Source organism: Homo sapiens, chromosome 1 (genome assembly GCF_000001405.40).
Source record: "Homo sapiens chromosome 1, GRCh38.p14 Primary Assembly".
In the NCBI taxonomy this organism is placed as follows: Eukaryota; Metazoa; Chordata; class Mammalia; order Primates; family Hominidae; genus Homo; species Homo sapiens.
In genome coordinates this window covers 19,538,955-19,564,185 of record NC_000001.11, presented here as the reverse complement: position 1 = coordinate 19,564,185, position 25,231 = coordinate 19,538,955, and the positions used below count along the sequence as shown (strand labels likewise).

The 25,231-nt window shown below is 43.9% G+C and overlaps 1 annotated feature.

Moving 5' to 3' along the window:
- Nucleotides 17,225–17,425: a silencer, noted in NCBI's record as "peak99 fragment used in MPRA reporter construct". NCBI's record gives its function as "represses an SCP1 promoter by STARR-seq MPRAs in K562 erythroleukemia cells {active_cell/tissue: K562}" and the evidence as "EXISTENCE:reporter gene assay evidence [ECO:0000049][PMID:32103011]".

Genomic DNA, 25,231 nt, shown 5'->3' with positions numbered 1-25,231 from the left:
GAGTCTTGAGGTTGTTGTTCCGCAAGAGCATAAATGCTGCTCCCCATTATGACCGGCCAGTTCCCTAAGTAATAATGGGGAAAGGCAGGCTCAGGCAGAAGCTGATGTCTCCCCGGGGAAGGAGAATGAATTCTGGATTACGAATGGAGACCATTTTCCAGGGCTGCTTTGATCTCTTGCCAGATCCAGGGCTGGAGACCAGCAAGTTGGGACTCCAAGGAAAACCGGACTTCGCAGCAGTCTCTAGCAGCTGTCTTCCCAAACGGGTGTGTGCCTGCAAAGCCGGGGCGGCCCTACGGTCCAGCCCAGCTTCTGCCCAGCGCCTGTGCCCTTGCGCTTCTGCCCCTGGGAGTCCTGCCTCCCGCTTTTCCTCCCCACCCAAAACAGAGCTGAGTTGGCGGCCGAAAATGAGTAAGTGTGAAGTGAGACTGCACACTAGTCTTTGTTGAGGGTTTGTTTTTGCCAAGCAGCTTGGTGGAGAAGATTGCATTGCTTGGTTATTTTTAAACCTGGATTTCTGGAATTTTATTTGGAAAAAAACAAAACAGAAACTCAAGTCTTGAGAGGCTAGTGGCTCCAGGCATCCTCTCTAGGAGGCTTGATATTGCCTAGAGCTGCCAGGAGCCTGGGGGAGTTTTGGGCCGTCAGAGGATGGAGGAGCAGAGGGTTTCCAGTCAGTTCTGGAAAGCAGCCCTGCTCCCCATCCCCAGGGGAGAGAACACCACACCTATATGAGGCCTCACTTCTGGTGTTTCTACTTGCTGTGTGCCAGGCTGGGTGGCAATCAAGACAGTTTCGGTCCTTGGTTGTGTGTGGCTCATGGCTTAGATGAAGATGATTTTCTTTTTTTATTTTTTAGAGGTGGGGTCTCACTATCCTGCCCAGACTGGTCTCAAACTCCTGGCCTCAAACCATCCTCCTACCTCGGCCTCCCAAAGTGCTGGGATTACAGGCATGAGCCAGTAGTTCACCTGGCCTAGATGAAGAAATTGATAGTTGCAATATATTTACAATACCAGCTTCACAGGGGAAGACACAAAGGTTGGGGTTGGGGCTGCTAACCTAGCCTAGAAGGATCCAGAATGAAACCCAAAGAATGTGTAGGGTCAGCAAAGCACAGCCAGAGAGGACTGTGGGTAGGAGAGGGGTGGGGCGGGGGTGGCAGCAAGAAAGCAGGGGCTTGATAGCAGAGACTTGGCTTCTAGCTCCTGCTCCATCTCCAGCAAGCAGTGCCATTTAAGCAAATGTGCTTGTCTCCTCTGCACTTCATTCTGTTCATCTATAAAACAAGGGATGTTATTAATCCGTTACTTACAAAAGCTAACATTTACTGAGTCCATACTTGGTGCCAGACCCTATTCTAAGCACCTTATATATATTAAGTCCAGGGGTAATTTTCAAAAACAATAAAATTATGACTTTCATACAGATATTAAATGAACCCATATCAAAGATTTTGTGGAACACATTAAGTAATGAGGGAATTGATAAGATGTTACGACTAGTTCAAAATATCTCACAGTTATAGTCGCGTAAGGAACAGGGAAGTGAACTTACAGATTAGGTACGAAACTGGCAAAGTTGGTTGATATCCACAAGGCAATAATTAATTTCATTCTACCGGACACAAGTTGCATTTCTATGGACAAGAACCAGGCCGGGCACAGTGACTCATGCCTGTAATCCCAGCACTATGGGAGGCCGAGGCAGCAGATCACTTGAGGTCAGGAGTTCGAGACTAGCCTGACCAACATGATGAAACCCTGTCTCTACTAAAAACACAAAAATTAGCTGGGTGTGGTGGTGCATGCCTGTAATCCCAGCTACTCGGGAGGTTGAGGCAGCAGAATCGCTTGAACCCGGGTGGTGGAGGTTGCGGTGAGCCAAGATCGCACCATTACACTCCAGCCTGGGCAACAAGAGTGAAACTCCCATCTCAAAAAAAAAAAAAAAAAAAAAAAAGAACAATTTGTTTTACTGACAGCTTTCTACAAGATACAGAGCTATAAAGTAGCTCAAAGACAATGAAGGGCCAAAAATAATCCTATGGGTTGAGCTAGTCAGGACACCCACTGAATGTCGAGGTTTTTCTAATTTGTCCCTATGATCTCCCCAACCCCTTAGGATCATTATAATCTTAAAGAAAAATGACTCTTGATTTAAAAATTGACTGTTCTCATTAGATGTGGTCTGATTGTTTATGTAGGTACAGCAAGAGAGTTAATTTGTCAGCTAGACATGGTGGCTCATGCCTGTAACCTCAGCACTTTTGGGAGGCCGAGGTGGATGGATCACTTGAGCCCAGGAGGTCCAGACTAGCTTGGGCAACATCGTGAAACCCCTTCTCTACAAAAAATACAAAAAATTAGCTGGGCATGGTGGCACACACCTGTAGTCTCAGCTACTAAGGAGGCTAAGGTGGGAGGATTACCTGAGCCTAGGAGGTTGAGGCTGCAGTGAGCCATGATTGCGCCACTGCACTCCAGCCTGGGCGACAGAATGACACATTGTCTCAAAGAAAAAAAAATATTAATTTGTCGTATAGGCCTCCTAAATGTGCTTCACAAAATTTACAGCCATGTCGTTTCAAACAATTACAAAATTAGCTTTTGTCTAGAAGTTTTCATAAGGAATCTCCAATTGGAATCTTTATTCTTTTCCCAGCTGGAATCGTAAAAGGCTCTATTATTTGTTATTTCAAAGTTAAGACACCCAGCTCAAGACGCTTCCCACAAAATTTCTTTCACCTGTCAAACCTGTATATCTGAGTGAATTCTTCTCTTTTTTTGTTCTCTGAATATCATAAAGTTCCTGGCCTTCCAGGAAGTGACTGTCTTTAATATCTGTAAATCAGGTACCAAGTCACTTTTGTTTTTTTTGTTTGTTCTTTTTTTTTTTTTTTTTTTTTTTTTGAGACTGAGTTTCGCTGTTGTTGCCCGGGCTGGAGTGCAATGGCACGATCTTGGCTCACCACAACCTCCGCCTCCCAGATTCAAGCAGTTATCCTGCCTCGGCCTCCAGAGTAGCTGAGATTACAGGCATGCGCCACCATGCCCGGCTAATTTTTTTTTTTGTATTTTTAGTAGAGATGGTGTTTCTCCATGTTGGTCAGGCTGGTCTCGAACTCCTGACCTCAGGTGATTCATCCGCCTCAGCCTTCCAAACTGCTGGGATTACAGGCGTGAGCCACCGCGCCCGGCCCTTTTTTTTTTTTTTTTTTAAGACAGAGTCTGGTTCTATCATACAGGCTGGAGTGCAGTGGTGCGACCTCAGCTCCTGCAACTTTCGCCTCCCCGGTTCAGGCTATTCTCCTGCCTCAGCCTGCCCAGTAGCTGGGACTACAGATTACCGCCACCACAGCTGGCTAATTTTTATATTTTTAGTAGAAATGAGGTTTCACCATGTTGGCCATACTGTTCTCAAACTCCTGACCTCAGGTGATCTGCCTGCCTTGGCCTCCCAAAGTGGTGGGATTACAGGTGTGAGCCACCGCACCTGGCCCCAAGCCAGTTTTCATGGAGACCTTTGTAGGCGTGTGTTCCGTAAGTATTAACACAAATTTTATCCCTTAAAATGCCCTGTCACACCTGATTTAGTGAGCACCATTCTCAGATATGATGCTCCAAGTGAGGCCTTGGCTACAATTAATCCATTTGTCCTGGTAAGAAGGAGGACATAGTCCTGCTGAACATGTGCAAATAACTATTACCATGAAAAGTAAAAAGACTTTTTTTTTTTTTTTAGGTGGAGTTTCGCTCTTGTTGCCCAGGCTGGAGTGCAATCGCGCAATCTCGGCTCACCGCAACCTCCACCTCCCGGGTTCAAGAGAGTCTCCTGCCTCAGCCTCCCGAGTAGCTAGAATTACAGGTGCCCACCACCAAGCCCGGCTAGTTTTGTATTTTTAGTAGAGACGAGGTTTCTCCATGTTGGTCAGGCTGGTCTCGAACTCCTGACCTCAGATGATCTGCCCGCCTCGGCCTCCCAAAGTGCTGGGATTACAGGCATGAGCCACCACGGCTGGCCAAAAAGTAAAAAGACTTTATAAGAGTTTCTGAATTCTAGAAGGCCAGGGAGAATCAGATATCATTTTTAAATGGTTTCTTTCCGTTTATAAAAGCAGAGATGACAAAATTGTTATGGTTACAGATGGATTAAGAAGAGAGAGAAAGGACATTTCTTCTTTAATAAATAAGGACAATAGAACGTTGAAACAACACCAGCAGTTTTCTAAACATATTTGTTTAGAAAAATACAATAAAATTTCCCTCATCAGTTCACTCAGTCCTATGTAATTAATTCTTATTCTGCTGTCTTCTGAGTTAAACATGAAACTATTTGCTTCTAACCCTCAACAGCCCTGGAAATCCTGACTCATTCCATTGATAATAGTCTAAGAATTTTCTAAGTAATGTCAGCTCAGCTCAGTTTGAAGTACCTGGTACAGTCCTTTCCCATACAGCTCTGAGACTGTCCTTGGTTCGAAACACCAAATCCAGCCTGTAGCTTATAGCAGTAAACCTCTGAGGCATTGCAGATGACAGAGAGTTAATATGGCTTTGGTTAATTTATTATAGATCATCTTAAAATGTGAAAGGTCTGGCCGGGCTCGGTGGCTCACACCTGTAATCCCAGCACTTTGGGAGGCCGAGGGGGGCAGCTCACCTGAGGTCAGGAGTTCGAGACCAGCCTGGCCAACATGATGACACCCTGTCTCTATTAAAAATACAAAAAATTAGCTGGGCATGGTGGCACACGCCTGTAATACAGTTACTCAGGAGGCTGAGGCAGGGGAATCGCTTGAACCCAGGAAGCAGAGGTTGTAGTGAGCCGAGATTGTGCCACTGCACTCCAGCCTGGGCAACAGAGCGAGAGTCCATCTTAAAATACAATACAATACAATACAATATAAAATAAAATAAAATAAGAAAGATCTGATGAAGGTTCATAACAGGAGCCAGGAAACAAGGAAATGTGGTTGTTTCTGTGGCATGCAAAACAGAGATAATAAAACCACATCCAAAATTTTGACAAAATACCTCTAAAGATAATTGATTACATCTATCTGCACAGAAATCAGTAAATATTACATCTGATTCATAGAAATGTATGAACATAATTTGTACAGAGGAAAGAAAATCTTGAGATTGAACATATGATAATACAGAAACATTTTTTTTTTTTTTGAGACAGGTTCTGACTCCGTCGCCCAGGCTGGAGCGCAGTGGCATGATCATGGCTCACCACCGCCTCAACTTCTTGAGCTCAAGTGATCCTCCTGCCTCAGTCTCCCAAGTAGCTTGGACTACAGGCATGCACCACCATGCCTAGCTAATTTTATTTTTATTTTTTATAGAGATGGGATCCCACTATATTGCCCAAGCTGGTCTCAAACTCCTGGGCTCAAGCAATCCTCTCACCTCAACCTCCCAAAATGTTGGGATTACAGACATGAGCCACTGCTCCTGGACATAATTTTTGTTTTTATGAGCCCAGGAGTTTGGTACCAAGAATATCAACTAAAGAGATTCAGGCCAGGAGTGGCGGCTTCATGCCTATAATCCTAGCACTTTGGGAGGCTGAGACAGATGGATTACCTGAGCTCAGGAGTTTGAGACCAGCCTGGCTGACATGGTGAAACTCCGTCTCTACTAAAATACCAAAAATCAGCTGGGCGTGATGGCATGCACCTGTAATCCCAGCTACTCAGAGGCTGAGGCAGCAGAATTGCTCAAACCCAGGAGGTGGAGGTTGCAGTGAGCCGAGATTGCGCCACTGCACTCCAGCCTGGGCAACAAAGCAAAACTGTTTAAAAAAAAGAAGAAAGATTCAGTAACAGTAGAGTAGAGCCTAGACACCTTACAAATGTTTACAGCTCTCTGTTCCATGACGAGTCTGATGTGCATCCTAACCAAGACACACTGGCTTTGACCATGATAGATTCAAATTAAAGAAGGAAGGTTGTGGCAAGTAAACATTTTAAATAACTGAACTTGGCCGGGTGTGGTAGCTCACGCCTATAATCCCAGCTCTTTGGGAGGCCAAGACAGGCAGATCTCTTGAGCCCAGGAGTTCAAGACTAGCCTGGGCAATATGTAGAAATCCCATCTCTAGAAAAATACAAAATTGCCAGGCATGGTGGTGCCTGCTTGTGGTCCCAGCTACTAAGGAAGGCTGAGGTGGGAGGATCATCTGAGCCCGGGGAGGTTGAGCCTGCAGTGAGCCATGATTGCATCACTGCACTCCAGCCTGGGTGACAGATACCCTGTCTCAACAAAATAAAAAAAAGAAAGGAAAGGAAAGGAAAGTGAAAGGGGAAGGGGAAGGGGAAGGGAATGGGAAGAGGTAGGGAAGGGGAAGAGGAAGGGAAGGGGAACAGAAGGGGAAGGGGAAGGGAAGGCAAAGGGGAAAGGGAATTGAAGGGGAAGGGGAAGGGGAAGGGAAGGGAAGTGAAGGGAAGGGAAGAGAAGGGAAGGGAAGGGAAGGGAAGGGAAGAGAAGGGAAGGGAAGGGAAAGGAAAGGAAGGAAGAAAGAAAACTGAACTCATAGCTGATAACACTGTACTGTTGTTGCCAATATCATCAGGCAAAGCATGACCAGGACTTTGATAAAAGTCGGAAAACTCGACAGATCTGTTTCAGGAGTTCTAGTTCATAAGAGAACTAGCTCATGGGAGCGTTCTCCTTAAGGATAAAAACATACAAGGGACAGCCGGGAGCAGGAGTTCACGCCTGTAATCCCAGCACTTTGGGAGGCTGAGGCAGTGGATTCCTTGAGTCCAGGAGTTTGAGACCAGCCTAGGCAACATGGTGAAAACCCTGTCTCTACTTTAAAAATAAAGAAATTAGCTGGGCATGGTGGCGTGCGCCTATAGTTCCAGCTACTTGGGAGGCTGAGGTGGAAGAATCACCTGAACCTGGGAGGTTGAGGCTGCTGTGAGCCGAGATCGCGCCACTGCACTCCAGCCAGGACCACCCCAAACCCCCCAAAAAAACAAAACAAAAATATAAGGGACAAGGCCATTGTCTCAGGGGCTTCCCATAAAGCATGCAATTTTAAAATATTTATGTGAATAATATTTTAATTACACAAATTTAACCTGAGCATCTCTTCTGAATTGACAACTCTTCCCGTCCAACTTTTTAATTAAACCTAATTATTTCTTGCATTTTTCATCTAAAGTGAAAGAACAAATCTTTGTGATTTTCCAGGGTTACTTGGGAAATCTCAAAGATCATTTTAGGTGAAGAACATATTTTGAAAGTTTTATTTTATTTTTTTCTATTTAAGGATTCAATTTAGGAAGGCAAAAATCAAAACAGTTGTCAAGGAGATTTGGACATTTGATTAAGATAGGATCTTGGGTGCCTGTAATTGTGACAAGAAGCACTTAAAAATAAGCATAGAAGGTAACAAAAATGGTAAAGAACATTAGCTTCTTCATAAGTGAGAATTCCTGAAGTAAATTGATTATTTAGGGGGAAAAAAGAATTTATTAAGACCTGGAGTCTTTGTTCTCTGTGTAATTATATAGTAAAGAATAACCTTTTATATTGCGGTAAATCAAGCCCATCAAGATTGAGCAAACTTTGATACAATTTCAATGTATTTCATAGCTCCTTTTCAGACTCAGATATGGACAAACCAAGAGAAGTGAAATTCACTTTTGAGTTTTGTCTTTTTTAATGCTCTTTTATATTCTGGGCCACATTAATGCTTTACTTGAGTACAATGTTTCTCTTTCAGTGGGTCTATGAGGTCAAAACAATTTTCATATTAATAGTAAAATGTTATTTATATTAGCATACAATGTGTTCATAATTCTTAGCTTTAAATGAGTCACTCATTAAGTATTTTAGGCCAATCATGGTGGCTCACACTTGTAATCCTAGCACTTCGGGAGGCTGAGGATCACTTGTGGCCAGGAGTTCAAGACCAGCCTGGGCAGCATAAATAAAAAGTTTTTAAAAAAAGTAGCCAGGCATGGGTTGGGTGCAGTGGCTCACGCCTGTAATCCCAGCACTTTGGGAGGCCGAGGCGGGTGGATCACGAGGTCAGGAGACGGTGACCCCCCTGGCTAACACGGTGAAGCCCCATCTCTACTAAAAACACAAAAAATTAGCTGGGGGTGGTGGCGGGCGCCTGTAGTCCCAGCTACTCAGGAGGCTGAGGCAGGAGAATGGCGTGAACCCGGGAGGCAGAGCTTGCAGTGAGCCAAGATCGTGCCACTGCCCTCCAGCCTGGGCAACAGAGTGAGACCCTGTCTCAAAAAAAAAAAAAAAAAAATAGCCAAGCATGGTGGCAAGCACCTGTAGTACTAGCTATTTGGGAAGCTGAGGTGGGAGGATCACTTGAGCCCAGGAGTTCGAGGTTACAGTGAGCTGTGATCATGCCACTGCACTCCAACCTGGGTGATAGTGCAAGACCCTGTCTTGAAAAAAAATAATTCTTTTTAATTAAATATTGATTAAATATTGATAGCTATAATTCACATAAACAAAAACTGTTGTGGATCTTCATGAAGTCCCAAGAGTGGAAAGGATTCAAGAGACCAAAACAAAAAAAAACAAAACAAAAACCTGAGAAACTCTGCTTACATAAAGATGGATCTCTTGGTCACTGTTGCTTCTAGTGTAATCTCAACCACTCATATTAATTTTTATTTGATACCAAAGTTTTACTTTTTACCAAAGTAATGGACTTCTATTTTGCAGGTCAAGCTAGGGGGTGGAGAGAGGGTAAGTAATTAAGGCCGGTCTGCTTTATCCAGCATGGGAGCTGACTAACAAAGATAACAGTACAACTTTATACAGCCACACATCCTTTTTTACACCTTTAAAAAATGTCCATTAACATAACCCCAAATATTTTAAATAGTACATATACTATTTTATAAATATTTTATATAGCATATGAGCAGAAGTATATAAACTTTAAATTATGTTTAGTAAGCATTGTTTCTATCTTTAGTTAGCAATCATTTAGGTATCAATGATTATTCATTAAATAACTCATTTTAGTATCAGTTCAGGTTTTGTAGAGACAGAGTTTTGTTCTGTCTCCCAGGCTGGAGTGCCGTGGTGCAATCATGGCTCACCCCAGCCTCAAACTCCCGACTCAAGCGATCCTCCCATCTCAGCGTCTAGAGTAGCTAGGACTACTGCAGGCACATGCCACAGTGCCTAGCTAATTAAAAACATTTTTTTTTGTAAGGACAAGGTCATACTTTGTTGGCCAGGCTGGTTTCAAACTCCTGAGCTCAAGTGATCCTCCCGCCTCTGCCTCTCAAAGTGCTGGGATTCCAGGTGTGAGCCGCTGTGTATGCCCTTAGTTCAAAGATTTTTTGTTTTGTTTTGTTTGTTTTTGGAAACGGAGTTTCTCACCTGTTGCCCAGGCTGGAGTGCAATAGAGCAATCCTGGCTCGCTGCAACCTCCGCCTCCTGGGTTCAAGCAATTCTCCTGCCTTAGTTTCCTGAGTAGCTGGGATTACAGGCACCCGCCACCAGGCCCAGCCAGTTTTTTGTATTTTTTAGTAGAGATGGGGTTTTGCCATGTTGGCCAGGCTGGTCTTGAATTCCTGATCTCAGGTAATCCACCCACCTCAGCCTCCCAAAGTGCTGGGATTATAGGTGTGAGCCACCGTGCCAGCCTGATCTTTTCCCTTCTTGAGCCAGTTATTTTGACTTTGAGCAGGAAGTGTTTTTGTGTCCTATTTCAGGGTTTGATGTCTGACCTAAAGACACACTCTCACTAGCAGAAGAGGAGTTAGAGGGAACAAATGAATGAACAGTGAGTTGGGAGGAAAGAGTAGATGAATAAGTAAAGATCCCTTGGTGGCAAGTAACAGAAATGAAACTCAAACCATCTTAGGCAATATGTCTCTGAAAATCCCATTGGCTTCAGGTATGGCTGGATCCAGGGACTCAAGGTTATCAGGACCTATCTCTCTTTGTCTTTTTATTGTGGAATGTTATATAGGAAGGCTTATTGAAAGCTCTGGCACTGGCACCAACAACTCCAGGCTTACACCTTATCTTCTCTTAAAACCAGCAGGAAGATGCCCTAATGCCCCTGGAGCTCATTGGCCTACATTGGTCCTGACTCTCTTCTGTTTGAATGGGGTCACATGGCCATATTCAAAGCAGTCACTGTGGCCAGGGGTAAAATAGATTGACTAGTGTAGACCTGATCTGCATGCCCATTCCTGGAGCATGGTAAGTTATTCCAACCAAGTCACATGGACTGAGAGTGGAGAAGGGGTAGTATCCCTAAAGAAAAATCAGAAGAAGGAGATTTGAGAAAGAAAAGACATAAAATAAAGGGACAGCCAAGTGGCTGGATGAGGCTTCAGCTCCATTTCAAATAGTGACAAATCTACAAAGAAAAATAAAGCAGGGCCAGGCACTATGGCTCACACCTGTAATCTCAGCACTTTGGGAGGCCGGGGTGGGAGGAACACCTGAGCCCAGGAGTTTGAGACCAGTCTGGGCAACATGGTGAGACTCCATCTCTACAAAAAGATCCAAAAATTAGGCCGGGCACAGTGGCTCACACCTGTAACCCCAGCACTTTGGGAGGCTGAGGCGGGCAGATCATGAGGTCAAGAGATCGAGACCATCCTGGCCAACATGGTGAAACCCCATCTCTACTAAAAATACAAAAATTAGCTGGGCATGGTGGCACGAGCCTGTAGTCCCAGCTACTTGGGAGGCTGAGGCAGGAAAATCACTTGAACCCGGGAGGCGGAGGTTGCAGCGAGCCAAGATCACACCACTGTACTCCAGCCTGGTGACAGAGGGAGACTTGGTCTCAACAACAACAACAACAACAACAAAAAGGTACAAAAATTAGCCAGGCATGGTGGTGCATGCCTGTCATCCCCTGCTACTCAGGAGGCTGAGGTGGGAGGAGAGCTTGAGCCTGGAGGTCTAGGCTGCAGTGAGATGTGATGGCACCACTGCACTCCAGTCTGGGCAACAAAGTGAGACCCTGCCTCAAAAAAAAAAAAAAAAAATTAAGCAGGATAATGGGGACAAAAAAAAGAGAGAAAATCTTCACTGCTCTGAAACTAATACCTCTTTTGAAGCTGCTCTTGCAGCATTTTTGGAGCTTGAAAGGTCAATGCCTTCAGCTTTTAGCTTTGCACTCTGGAGATTCTTTGAGGTGAAGTGAAGGAATTCATTAACAACTTTCTGAGGGTGGGAAAAGATGTTCAATTACAAGCTGCAGGGGTTTCAGGGTCTTGATCTTCCCTTGTGTTTGAGTGAAGCCACACCTCTTCCTGGGTCAGGAGTCTTTCACTTAGCAGTTAATCATTAAGTGCCTTCTCTGCTTCATGCAGAGTTCACAGTGATACAGCAGCAAGCGAGAGTTCCTGTCCTCATGGAGTTTACTCTCTAAGACAGGGCACAGAATGACCAATGAAACAGGCATGTGTGGCATGTCCAGTGGTGAGAGATGCAGCGAGGAATGATGAAACAGGCTGAGGGGTAGAGGGTCACCAGGTGGCCGAGGAAGTCCTCTCTGTTGAGAAGACGTTTGAACAAAGACTGAAGGGTGTGATGGGTGAAGCCGTGCAATTGTCTGGGGAGTAGAATTCCAGGCAGAGAGAAATGCAAGATCAAAGGCCTTGTGGCAAGAGATGCCTGCCTCATTGGAGGAGCAGCCAGAAGGCTGGTGTGGCTGGAACAGAGTGAGTGAAAGGGAGAATGGTAGGAGGTGAGGTCAGAGAGATAAAAGGAGGTCACCTTGGTAACAATGTTGGCTTTACTCTGAGTGAGACAGGAAGACAGTGGGCATGGTGAGCATTATCTGACTTTGGGTGTTAAGGAATCACACAATGATATAGTTTTGGAGACGGAGTCTTGCTCTGTTGCCAGGCTGGAGTGCAGTGGCACGATCTCAGATCACTGCAACCTCCGCCTTGGGTTCAAGCAATTCTCCTGCCTCAGGCTGGGATTACAGGCACCTGGCACCATGCCCAGCTAATTTTTGTATTTTTAGCACAGACAGGGTTTCACCATGTTGGCCAGGCTTGTCTTGAACTCCTGACCTCATGTGATCCGCCTATCTCGGCCTCCCAAAGTGCTGGGATTATAGGCATGAGCCAGCGCGCCTGGCCTCATGTTCAGCTGTAATCCTCAATGTTGGAGGTGGGGCCTGGTGGGAGGGGATCGGATCATGGGGGTTTTTTCTCATGGTTTAACACCATCCCACTTGGTGCTGTCATCACGATAGTGAGTTCTCATGAGATCTGGTTGTTTAAAGTTGTGTGGCACTTCCCACCTTGCTCTCTTCCTCCTACTCCAGCCATGTGAAGATGCCTGCTCCAGCTTTGCCTTCCACCATGAGTAAAAGATCCTTGAGGCCTTCCAAGAAGCAGATGCTGCCATGCTTCCTATATAGCCTGAAGAACCATGAACCAATTAAACCTCTTTTTTTTCTTTTTTTTTTTTTTTTTTGAGATGTAGTCTTCCTCTGTCACCCAGGCTGGAGTGCAGTGGTGCAATCTGGGCTCACTGCAACCTCCACCTCCCAGATTCAAGTGATTCTCCTGTCTCAGCCTCTTGAGTAGCTGGGATTACAGGTGCACACCACCATACTCAGCTATTTTTTGTATTTTAGTGGAGACAGGGTTTCACCATGTTTCCCAGGCTGGTCTTGAACCCCTGAACTCAGGCAATCCACCTGCCTCGGCCTCCCAAAGTGCTAGGATTACAGACATGAGCCACTGTGCCCATACCTCTTTTCTTATAAATTACTCAGTCTCAGGTGTTTCTTTATAGCAATGTGAGAACAGACTAATACACCCCACAAACCAAAAAACCAACACACAGACAACAGAAGAAGTACTTTGGCAGCTGTGTGAAGAACAGACTGCAGTAAGCAAAGGTGGAAGCATGGAGATGGGTATTAGGCATCTGCTGCAATAATACCGGTGAGAGATGGAGTTGGCTGGGACTAGGGTGCAGGTGCAGGACTAGGGTGCAGCAGTGCAGGTGGTGAGAAGTGGCCAGATGCTGGAGGAAAGACACTGTTGTGGGAAGTCAGGGACCCCGAATGGAGGGACCTTCTGGAGCCAAGGTAGAAGAACATAAATTGTGAAGATTTCATGGACATTTATCAGTTCCCAAAATTAATAGTTTTATAATTTCTTACTCCTGTCTTTACTGCAATCTCTGAACATAAATTGTGAAGATTTCATGGACATTTATCACTTCCCTAATAATACTCTTATACTTTCTTATGCCTGTCTTTATCTCTTAATCCTGTTACCTTCATAAGCTGAGAATGTACATCACCTCAGGACCACTATTGTACAAATGGATTGTAAAACATGTGTGCTTGAACAATAATGAAATCAGCGCACCCTGAAAAAGAACAGAATAACAGCGATTTTCAGGGAACAAGGGAAGATAACCATAAGGTCTGACTGCCTGTGGGGTAGGGCAGAATAGAGCCATATTTTTCTTCTTGCAGAAAGCAAGTAGGAGAAATATTGCTGAACTCTTTTCCCGCAAGGAATAACCCTGGGGAAGGAATGCATTCCTGGGGGTAGGTCTATAGACGGCCGCTCTGGGAGTGTCTGTCTTATGCGGTTGAGATAAGGACTGAAATAGATCTTGGTCTCCTGCAGTACCCTCAGGCTTACCAGGATTGGGAAATTCCAGCCTGGTAAATTCTAGTCAGACCGGTTGTCTGCTCTTGAACCCTGTTTCCTGTTAAGATGTTTATCAAGACAATGCATGCACAGTGGGACATAGACCCTCATCAGTAATTCTAATTTTGCCTTTGCCTTGTGATCTTTATAGCCCTTTGAAGCATGTGATCCTTGTGACCCACTCCCTGTTCATACATCCCCTCCCCTTTTAAAATCCCTCATAAAAACTTGCTGGTTTTGCGGCTCAGGGTTGCCATCACGGTCCTACCAATATGTGATGACACCCCTGGAGGCCCAGCTGTAAAATTTCTCTCTTTGTATTCTTTCTCTTTATTTCTCAGACTGGCCGACACTTAGGGAAAATAGAAAGAACCTACACTGAAATATTGGGGGCTGGTTCCCCCAATAGGACATGAATGAAGGAGCCACCTAGATCTACCTGGAAGGGTCATATAACAGCAGTGGTGATATTTGTAAGCATTTGTGAAGGCATCTATAGACTTTTGGCCAGTCAGCATCCATCGCCTTCTTTCTTCCTGTTAATACCCCAGTCCACCTCTACAGGAACACACTTGGAGTCTTGATGTGAGGGCAGTTCTGGCACCCTTTACCACCCTTGTAAAGGAAACCAAGTGGACCAGATCTTTTCACCTTCTGTCCCATAGAATAGCCAGGGCTGGACATTGGACTTAAGCTCAACCCATGGACTCTCTAAAGACAGAGAACAGGAAAAGAGATTGGAAACCCCAGCTTCATCACTGAGAAAGCACATAAACCTCACCTGTCCTGCAGCATGCAGTTTTGCCTGCTCAGCCTCCCTCCAGACAAGGCCAGCTGTATACTGCACAACTCCAGGAGGAGTGCCATTTCCATTCTATTCTATGTTAAGCAATGACAGGGGTCAGGAAACATTTTCTGTAAATATTTTAGGCTTTGCAGGCCACATGGTCTCTGTCAAGTGTGAAGGAAGCCATAGGCAGCAACTGATGAACATTCTGGTGGACAGTTATTGTTCATTGCAGACTGGATTGAAGAAATCAGCTATGTTATCAGAAAGAAGTAGTTCCAACAAAACTTTATATTTATTTATTTTTTTTTTTTTTTTAAATTAATTTTTTTCTTGAGACTGATGCTCACACTGTCACCCAGGCTAGAGTGCAATGGCATGATCTCGCCTCACTGCAACATCTGCCTCCTGGGTTCAAGCAGTTCTCCAGCCTCAGCCTTCCAAGTAGCTGGGATTACAGGTGCCCACCACCACACCTGGCTAATTTTTGTATTTTTAGTAGAGACAGGGTTTTGCCATATTGGCCAGGTTGGTCTCAAACTCATGACCTCAGGTGATTCACCTGCCTCGGCCTCCCAAAGTGCTGGGATTACAGGTGTGAGCCACCACGCCTGACCTAAAACTTTATTTATAAAAACATGTAGTGGGCTGGAATTGGCCAGTGGGCCATAGTTTGCTAATCCCTGGACTTTGAGAGTAGCCCCTAGAGTGGTGCAAACATAGCTGCCAGGCCTCCAGAGCTCTGTTTGTTCCTCCTGATTTTCCACGCCTGGCCCCACAGCTTCCTCTTGATTATATGAGCCCCTACATTCTTCTAATAAATTTTGGTTTTGCTTAAAGTAGAGTCAGTTTCTGTGGCCTGCAACCAAGAACCCTGATTGATGCAGCACTTACTCAATCTCATTTAATTCTCTGTGGCTCTTAGGAAAGAAAGTTAGAAGGGAGAGTAGGGATGGCTCAAAGTCCCTCTTTCCCACTGCTGGAGAAACAGCTCAAGGCAGATTACAACTCACATAACTCATTAGTGTCAACTTGACTCACAATACAACCATGTCTTTAAAAGTTTCCTCACTGCATAGTTTATTTTTATTTTTATTTTTTATTTTTTTGAGACAGGATCTCACTATGTTGCCCAGGCTGGAGTGCAGTGGTATGATCTCAGCTCACTGCAGCCTCAACCTCCTGGGCTCAAGCCATCTTCCTACCTCAGCCTCCCAAATAGCTGAGACTACAGACACGTGCCACCACACTGGGCTAATTTTTGTATTCTTTTGTAGAGATGAGGTTTTGCCATGTTATCCAGGCTGGTTTCAAACGCCTGAGCTCAAGCAATCCACCCATCTGGGCCTCCCAAAGTGCTAGGATTACAGATGTGAGCCACCATACCCAGCCTGCAATATATATATATATTTAAAGATGAATATTTTAGCTGGGCAAAATCCCAGCTACTCAGGAGGCTGAAGGAGAAGAATCACTTGAACCCAGGAGGCGGAGGTTGCAGTGAGCCGAGATCACACCACTGCCCCTGCACTCCAGCCTGGGTAACAGAGCAAGACTCTGTCTTGAAAAAAAAAAATGAAGTTGGAACTAATCAAAAATTGGGGAAAGAAAAAAGATGAGATGAATTAAGAGACAAATTAAAACAGTTGTTGAAACATCTCTTGCCTTAAGCACCATGTAAATATTAGAGATGTACTCAAATCTTGTTCTGAGCTTCCTGGTTTGCAAAGCAAACAGGAAAACACTTTTGATGTGTGAGTCACAGTGTCATTAAGATTGAAAACAAACTAATTGCTCCGACAACATGGCTGTTTCTAATTCTTTTTTTTTTTTTCACATGATAAATGCTAGGTGAATAGTTGTATTTTGTCTGGGCTCAGAAAATGGCAACTTTTTGAATCTCAAGAAATGCTATACATTTGATTACCTTAAGAAAACCCAGCCAGGTTCAGTGGCTCATGCTTGTAATCCCAGCACTTTGGGAGGCTGAGGTGGGAGGATCACTTGAGCCCAGGAGTTCAAGACCTACCTGGGCAACATAGTGGACCAAGGCCAGCTCAGTCATGGAGACCCTAACCCATAGGCACTAGAGGACTTAAAGACCCACACACAGAAGTATAGAGTGTGCAGTGGGAAATCAGGAGGCTGACAGCCTTCAGAGCCGAGAGCCCCAAACAGAGTTTTATCCACGTATTTATGGACAGCAAGCCAGTGATAAGCATTGTTTCTACAGATTATAGATGAACTAAAAGTATTCCTCACAGGAAACAAAGGGATGGGCTGAAACAAAGGGATGGGCTCTGGCTAGTGATCTGTAGCAGGAACATGTCCTCACGGCACAGATCGCTTATGCTATTGTTTGTGGTTTAGGAACGCCTTTAAGTGGTTTTCCACCCTGGGTGGGCCAGGTGTTCCTTGCCCTCATTCTGGTAAACCCACAACCTTCAGCATTGTGTCATGGCCATCATGAATATGTCACAGTGCTGCAGAGATTTTGTTAATGGCCAGTTTTGGGGCCAGTTTATGTCCAGATTTGGGGGCCTGTTCCCAACATGTTCCCCCTTTTTGTTTTTGTAAGACAGTAAAAGCAAAGGTGGCTTTATCACAGTGAGCTACTTCTCACAGGAATCGGGATCCCCATCTGCAAACTATATAAAGATAAACAACACAGATTAAAAGCACAATCATCATTGAAATCACAGACCTTCCAAGTGTTTGTATCCATTTTGATGGGTTACTAGCTGCTAATCTGTCTGCAGCTCCTTCAAGCACTCCAGTTCCTGGCATTAAGGTCAGGTGTGCCTGGGATGCTTTACATATTTGTTCTTTTAATTTTGCAATATCCAAAGACAAGTTTGTACAGTGTCCTTCTGGATGCTTTTTCATTCTTTCCCAAATTTTGGTCTTATTAAGAGCCATTAATAGTTTCCACAAATCCTTATGTTTAGCTCCTAAAGTGGGCCATATCATTTGAGGTTGAGGTGCCACTATACCTCCATGTTTCCAGACAATAGGAACTCTTGCAGTATTTTTTTTTTTTTTACCATTTCTACTATCTGACCGTTTTGTTCAGACCAGCTGAACACAGTGTGGCCATGGCATGCAGACTGAGAGGTGCAATTCAAGCTAAACATCCCCTTAGGGGGACCAATCAATAATGATTCCATAGGAATCATTGTGCAGCACCTCTGCCTGTTCTGCAATGTAATCTTCCCAAACAAGTACGTTCACTATGTCTGGCCAGGTCCAATTCTGTTTACAAATAGGTTCTTGAGGGCAGTATGCCTCAACTATAGGAGCAGATTCATTATGGTAAATACTGAGATCGGGAAGCATGTGTAACTGTGTCATAGAGTGATTGCATCCAGGCATTATTGCCAGCCAAGATTGATAAATATGCCCAATAAGTATAATTGTTCTTTGTGTGTGCGCTTGCTAAAGGGATACTCATGGCAATGGTGATCACCGCTATCACAGCTATCATTAAATTACTCATTGCTACTGGTTGTCCCACTTTTCTCAGGTTTTCTTCTGCCATCTGCAACAGCTTCTTGATCTGTCTCCAGGTGGGTGGCTGTGTTCCACGGATGTTGCTCATGACAGTTGGGGTCCTCCTCAGCGTCAGTCTCGACATGGCTGCAACTAGGGGGTCCTTGGGATCCTCCTGGAATCTCTTCCTCAGCATCTGGCTCATGACAAGGTTTCAGGTATCTTGCTGGTACCCAAATTGGCTGCTGGTTTTGGCCTGAGAAACACAAGCATAACCTCTACCCCAAGTTATTATTTTACCTATTTCTCAACTTTTTGTTATCGGATCTCTCCACCAAACCAGTTGTTCTGCTTATGTCTTTGCAGCTGGTTTCTGTAGATGCTGTTCAGCTGCTGATAGCATCTGGCCTTTAGGCAGGCTCAAAAAATTTAAAGTCAATAATGCTAGATTCAATTGCATATGGGGTGTCCTGTAGTCCCTGTTCCCTGCCCTCCCCCCCGACCTCTGCTTTTGCAATTTTTGTTTTAGGGAGAGATTCATTCTTTCCACTATGGCTTGTCCTTGAGAATTATATGAGATACCAGTAATGTGTTTAATATTCCATATAGAGAAAAATGTAGCTAGAGCTTGGCTAGTATAGCCTGGGGCATTATCTGTTTTCATAGAAGCTGGAATGCCCATCACGGCAAAACACTGCAAAAGGTGACGTTTAACACAGGCAGAAGACTCTCCTGATTGGCATGTAGCCCAGACAAAGTGAGAAAAGGTGACCACACATACATGTACATAAGCTAGTCCCCCAAATGCGGGAACATGTGTGACGTCCATTTGTCAAAGAGAATTAGGTTCTAATCCTTGAGGATTTACTCCTCCTGTAAAAGATGAGGAATGTACCATTTGGCAAGTTGGGCATCGCTGGATAACAGCTTTAGCTTCTTTCCAGGTAATGTTGTATCTGCATTTGAGACCAGAGGCATCAACATGGGTTAAATTGTGAAAGGGTCTGGCATTAGACATTGCAGTAGCAACTAGGCGATCATTGATTCCCTGCAGTCAAAGGTCCTGGAAGAGGTGTATGAGCCCTAATGTGAGTGATGAAAAATGGGTGTATTCTACCCCTAACTGCTGTCTGTAATTGAGTAAATAAAGTCATAAGTTGTTCATCTGTATAGAATCACAGCTGAGCATTTTCAACTAACTGTGTAGGATGAACCACATATAAAGAATCAGAAATTACATTAATAGGCATATCAAAAGCAGTCAATACCTTAATTACAGCTACAAGTTCTGCTTTTTGAGCTGAAGTATAGGGCGTCTGAAAAACTTTACCTTTTGAGCCAGAGTAAGAAGCTTTACCGTTACTAGACCCATCTGTGAAGACATTTTCAGCACCTTCAATTGGTTTAAATTTAGTTATTTTAGGGAGAATCCAATTAGGTAATTTCAAAAATTGAAACAGTTTCATTTTAGGAAAATGGTTATCGAGAATACCCACAAAGTCAGCTAAATGGGTTTGCCAAGTAAGACTATTTATAAAAACTTGCTGTATTTGTGCCTTCGTGAGAGGGACAATGATTTTTCCAGGATCATATTCATGCAGTTTAACTATCCGAGTTCTCCCATTTCCTATCATAGTAGTGATTTGATCCAAATAAGGAGTTAGAGTCTGTGAATTAGTATGTGGAAGAAAAAGTCATTCTACAAGATCTTGCTCTTGAACAGTAACACCAGTAGGTGAATGCTGAGTTGAAAAAATTAGCAAATCTAGAGTCTTCTCTGGATTTATTCTATTTATTTGAGCCTTATGGACTTGCTTCTCTATTAGCTGTAACTCTGCCTCAGCCCCCTTTGTTAACTGTCGAGGGCTAGTGAGACTAGGAGCTCCTCTAAGGATAAAAAATAGATTACTCATGGCATAGGTAGGAATGCCTAGAGCAGGTCGTATCCAATTAATGTCCCCTAGTAATTTTTGAAAGTCATTTAATGTTTACAATTGATCCCTACATATGGTTACTTTCTGTGGTACAATGATAGTGTCATTTACTAAGGTCCCTAAGTAGGAGTAAGGAGTGTTAGTCTGAATTTTGTCAGGAGCTATAATTAAACCAGCATGAGAAATTGAATTTTCCAAGCGATCATAACATTGGAGTAATATTTCCCGAGTTGAGGCAGCACAAAGAATATCATCCATATAATGAATAATGTAACACTGTGAAAATTTTTTACAAGTAGGTTCAATTGCTTGCCCTACATAAGTCTGGCAAATTGGTGGACTATTTAACATGCCTTGTGGCAACACTTTCCAATGAAAACACTTAGCAGGCTGCAGGTTGTTTATTGCAGGAATTGTAAATGCAAACTGTTCACAGTCTTGTTCAGCTAAGGGGACAGTAAAGTAACAGTCTTTTAAATCTATGACTATTAAAGGCCAATTTTTTGGAATCATAGCAGGAGAAGGCAATCCTGGCTGTAATGTCTCCATAGGTTGTATAACTGAATTCATGGCCCTTAAGTCAGTTAACATTCTCCATTTACCTGATTTTTTCTTCATTACAAAAACTCGAGAATTCCAGGGGAAAATGTTGGAGCTATGTGTCCTTTTTCTAATTGTTCAGTAACTAAGTCCTCTAAAGCCTCCAGTTTCTCTTTACTTAGTGGCCATTGTTCTATCCAAATTGGCTTATCTGTTAACCATTTTAAAGGTATAGGTTCTGGAGGCTTAACAATGGCCACCATGAAAAATGATATCCTAAACCTTGGCGGGAACTTTGTCTTCCCACTTGAAGCGGTTCCTTTGAAACTTGCAAATTTTTTCCTAGTGCCCTACCAGGGACATACCCCATTTCATGCATCATATGTTGACTTTGAGGGCTATATAATTGCTCTGGAATTAGAACTTGTGCTCCCCATTGTTGTAATAAATCTCTCCATCATAAATTTACAGATACAGAAGTTATAATTGGTGGAATAGTCCCAGGTTGTCCATCAGGCCCTTCACAATGCAAAATATAACTACTTTGATATACTTCAGGGGCTTTACCAACTCCAACTATGTTAAATTGAGTGGGTTGAATTGGCCACGCGGATGGCCAGTGCTGTAGAGAAATGATTGAAATGTCTGCTCCTGTATCTACCAAACCTTTAAATTTCTGTCCCTGAATAGTTATTTCACAGGTAGGACGTTTATCAGTAATTTGATTCACCCAGTAAGCTGCTTTGCCTTGTTTATTTGTGCTTCCAAATCCTCCTGTTCATTTAATTTCACTTTTCCCCATTTCCACATACAGTACCATCAGGAGCTGTGCTATATGCTCTCCTGGCTCTGCTTTCCAGGGAACAGAAGTAGATATAACAATTTGAATTTTCCCATTGTAATCTGAATCAATGACTCCTATATGTACTTGTACTCCTTTTAAATTTAAACTAGATCTACCTAGAAGTAATCCTGTTGTCCCTGCTGGCAAGGGTCCACAGACTCCTGTTGGGACCTTTTGTGGGGGTTCCCCAGGCAGAAGACTCACAGCTTTTGTGTAGCATAAATCTGTGGCACTACTGGCTGTGGTGTGGGACAGACTTTGTACAGGAGTGAAGGAGTGGCCTGAGCCAGAAATGCCCTGGTTTGGAACAGGTCCCAGGTCAGGCCCCTGATGGCGTTTCTTGAAATCAGGTTCCCATCTTTATCAAACTTAGAGTGATGCTGATTAGCCTAATGTTTTCCTTTTTTTGCATTTTGGACATATTCTAGGCTCACACTGATTGATAGCTTGTTTAAATTCGAGTAATTTAAAAGGAAAAGGCTCAAATGTAGCTATAATATTTCCCTGTTGATCTGGGGGGTGTATCCTAACAGGGAACTGCCAAGCCTCTAAGTCACCCTCTCATCTAGCTTGCTGGATTCCTGCCTGAATAGATCTGAGAGTGATCGCTTAAGGCACTCCTCAAACAGTCACTGGGGCAACTACTTTTCACCTAGTGTCCTCCAAAAAAGAAAGATCTGGAGGGTCAGGCCACTCTCTTCAAAATAAGGAGGGGGTGCAGAAGAGTAGGCATTAACCTCTTCCTTCTTTGCCGCTTTAGCTTTAGCTGGCAAACAAACCTGCTCTGTCACCTCTTCTGTTACTTCGTCATACTTTCCTTCCTCCTCATCGTTAGTGTGAAAAGGTTCCAAGGTGGAATGAACCAGATCCCACAGCTTAGTTCCACGTTCTCCAACCATCGCTCCAGCAACCCTTCGACCCAGGTTCAATCCCCACATATGGGCGCTACTTGCCGAGGCCAGCTCAGTCGTGGAGACCCTAACCCAGTGGTGCTTGAGGACTTAAAGACCCACACACAGAAATATGGAGTGTGCAGTGGGAAATCAGGGGGCTGACAGCCTTCAGAGCTGAGAGCCCCAAACAGAGTTTTACCCACATATTTATTGACAGCAAGCCAGTGATAAGCATTGTTTCTATAGATTATAGATTAACTAAAAGTATTCCTTACAGGAAACAAAGGGATGGGCTGAAACAAAGGGATGGGCTCTGGCTAGTTATCTGCAGCAGGAACATGTCCTTAAGGCACAGATCGCTCATGCTATTGTTTGTGGTTTAGGAATGCCTTTAAGCGGTTTTCTACCCTGGGTGGGCCAGGTGTTCCTTGCCCTCATTCCAGTAAACCCACAACCTTCAGCGTGGTGTCGTGGCCATCACGAATATGTCACAGTGCCGCAGAGATTTTGTTAATGGCCAGTTTTGGGGCCAGTTTATGGCCAGATTTGGGGCATGTTCCCAACAATAGTGACATCTCTACAAAATAATTGTGACAACCCCATCTCTACAAAATAATTAAAAAATTAACCAGGCATTGTGATGTGTGCCTATAGTCGCAGCTACTTGGGAGACTGAGGTGGGAGGATTGCTTGAGCCCAGGAGTTGAGGCTGCAGTGAGCTATGATCAAGCTATTGCACTCCAGCCTAAGTGACAAAGAAAGACTGACTCACTCTCTCTCTCTCTCTCTCTCTCTCTCTCTCTCTCTCTCTCTCTATATATATATATATATATATATATATATATTAGAAAATAAAAAATAAAAGGCTCATGCCTATAGACCCAGCACTTTGGGAGGCTGAGGCAGGTGGATCACTTGAATCCAGGAGTTCAAGACCAACCTGGGCAACATGGGGAAATCCCGTCTCTACAAAAAAAAAAAAAAAATTTAGCCAAGCATGGTGGCACATGTCTGTACTACCAGCTACTTGGGGGGCCGAGGCAGGAGGATCACCTGAGCTGGGGGAAGTCGAGGCTGCAGTGAGCTATGATCATGTCACTTCATTCCAGCCTTGTGACAGAGTGAGACCCTGTCTCAAAAAAATAAAAATTAAATAATAATAATTTGAATAATTTTAATTTTATAATTTAACATTTATATTACCACCAAAAAACACATTTAGGTATAATCTAAAAAAATATGTACAAGATCTACAGGAGGAAAACTATAAAACTCTGAAGAAAGAAATCAAAGAAGGTCTAAATAAATTGGCTAGGCACAGCGGCTCATGCCTGTAATCCCAGCACTTTGGAAGGCCAAGGCCGGCAGATCACCTGAGGTCAGGAGTTTGAGACCAGCCTGGCCAACATGGCGAAACCCTGTCTCTACTAAAACTGCAAAAACTAGCTGGGCATGGTGGTGGGTGCCTGTAATCCCAGCTACTCAGGAGGCTGAGGCAGGAGAATCACTTGAACCTGGGAGGCAGAGGTTGCAGTGAGCTGAGATCATACCACTGCACTCCAGCCTGGGCGACAGAGCAAGACTCTGTCTCAAAATAAATAAATAAATAAATAGACATTCCATGTTCATTGATAGGAAGACTCAATATTATCAAGATGCCAGTCATCCCAACTTGATCTATGGATTCAATACAATCCCAATCAAAATTCCAGCAAGTTATTTTGTGGATACTGACAAACTAATTCTAAAGTTTTTGTGGAGAGGCAAAAGATTCAAAATAGCCAAGACAATATTAGTAAAAAAGAACAAAGACAGAAGACTAACATTACTCATCTTTACTATACACTGCAATAATCAAGACATGTGACACTGGTAAAAGAATAGATACTTTAAAAAAAAGAAACAAAGAATAGACAATTAGATCAATGAAATACAAGAGAAACCTAGCCAGGTGCAGTGGCTCATGCCTGTAATCCCAGCACTTTGGGAGGCCAAGGTGGGTGGATCACCTGAGGTCAGGAGTTCCAGACCAGCCTCAACATGGAGAAACCCCGTCTCTACTAAAAATACAAAATTAGCCAGGTGTGGTGGTGCATGCCTGTAATCCCAGCTACTCGAGAGGCTGAGGCAGGAGACTTGCTTGAACCTGGGAGGCGGAGGTTGCAGTGAGCTGGGATTGTGCCATTGCACTCCAGCCTGGGCAACAAGAGTGAAACTCTGTCTCAAAAAAAAAAAGAAAAGAAATACAAGAGAAAGCCTAGAAATAGACCTACATAAATATAATCAACTGATCTTTGAAAGAGGAACAAAGAAAATTCAATGGAGAAAGAAGAATTTTTTGTTTTTGTTGTTGTTTGAGACAGAGTTTTGCTCTTGCTGCCCAGGCTGGAATGCAATGGTGCAATCTCGGCTCATCTCAACCCCCATCTCCCAGGTTCAATCAATTCTCCTGCCTCAGCCTCCTGAGTACCTAGGACTACAGGTGTGGCTCACCACACCCAGCTAATTCTTGTATTTTTAGTAGAGATGGGGTTTCACCATGTTGGCCAGGATGGTCTCGAACTCCTGACCTCAGGTGATCCACCCACCTTGTCCTCCCAAAGTGTTGGGATTACAGGCGTGAGCCACTGCACCTGGCCAGAACTTTTTTTCTTTATTTTTCAGAGACAGGGTCTTACTCTATTGCCTAGGCTGGAGTGCAGTGGCATGGTCTTGGCTCACTATATCCTGGACCTCCTGGGCTGAAGCTATCCTCCCGCCTCAGTCTCCAGAGTAGCTGGGACCACAGGCACATAATCCCATATGCCCAGCTTATTTTTTGATTTTTTTTTTTTTTTTTTGGTAGAGATGGAGTCTAGAGATAGGGTTTCGCTATGTGGCCCAGGCTGGCCTTGAACTCCTGGCCTCAAATGATCCTCCTGCCTCAGTCTCCCAAAGTGCTGGGATTACAGGCGTGAACCACTGCACCTGGCCGTATACAAAGAACTCTTGAAACTGAATAAGAAAATAAACAACCAAAGCAAAAAGTGGGCAAAAAATCTGAAGAGACACCTCACCAAAGAAGATATACAGATGGATGGCTGGGTA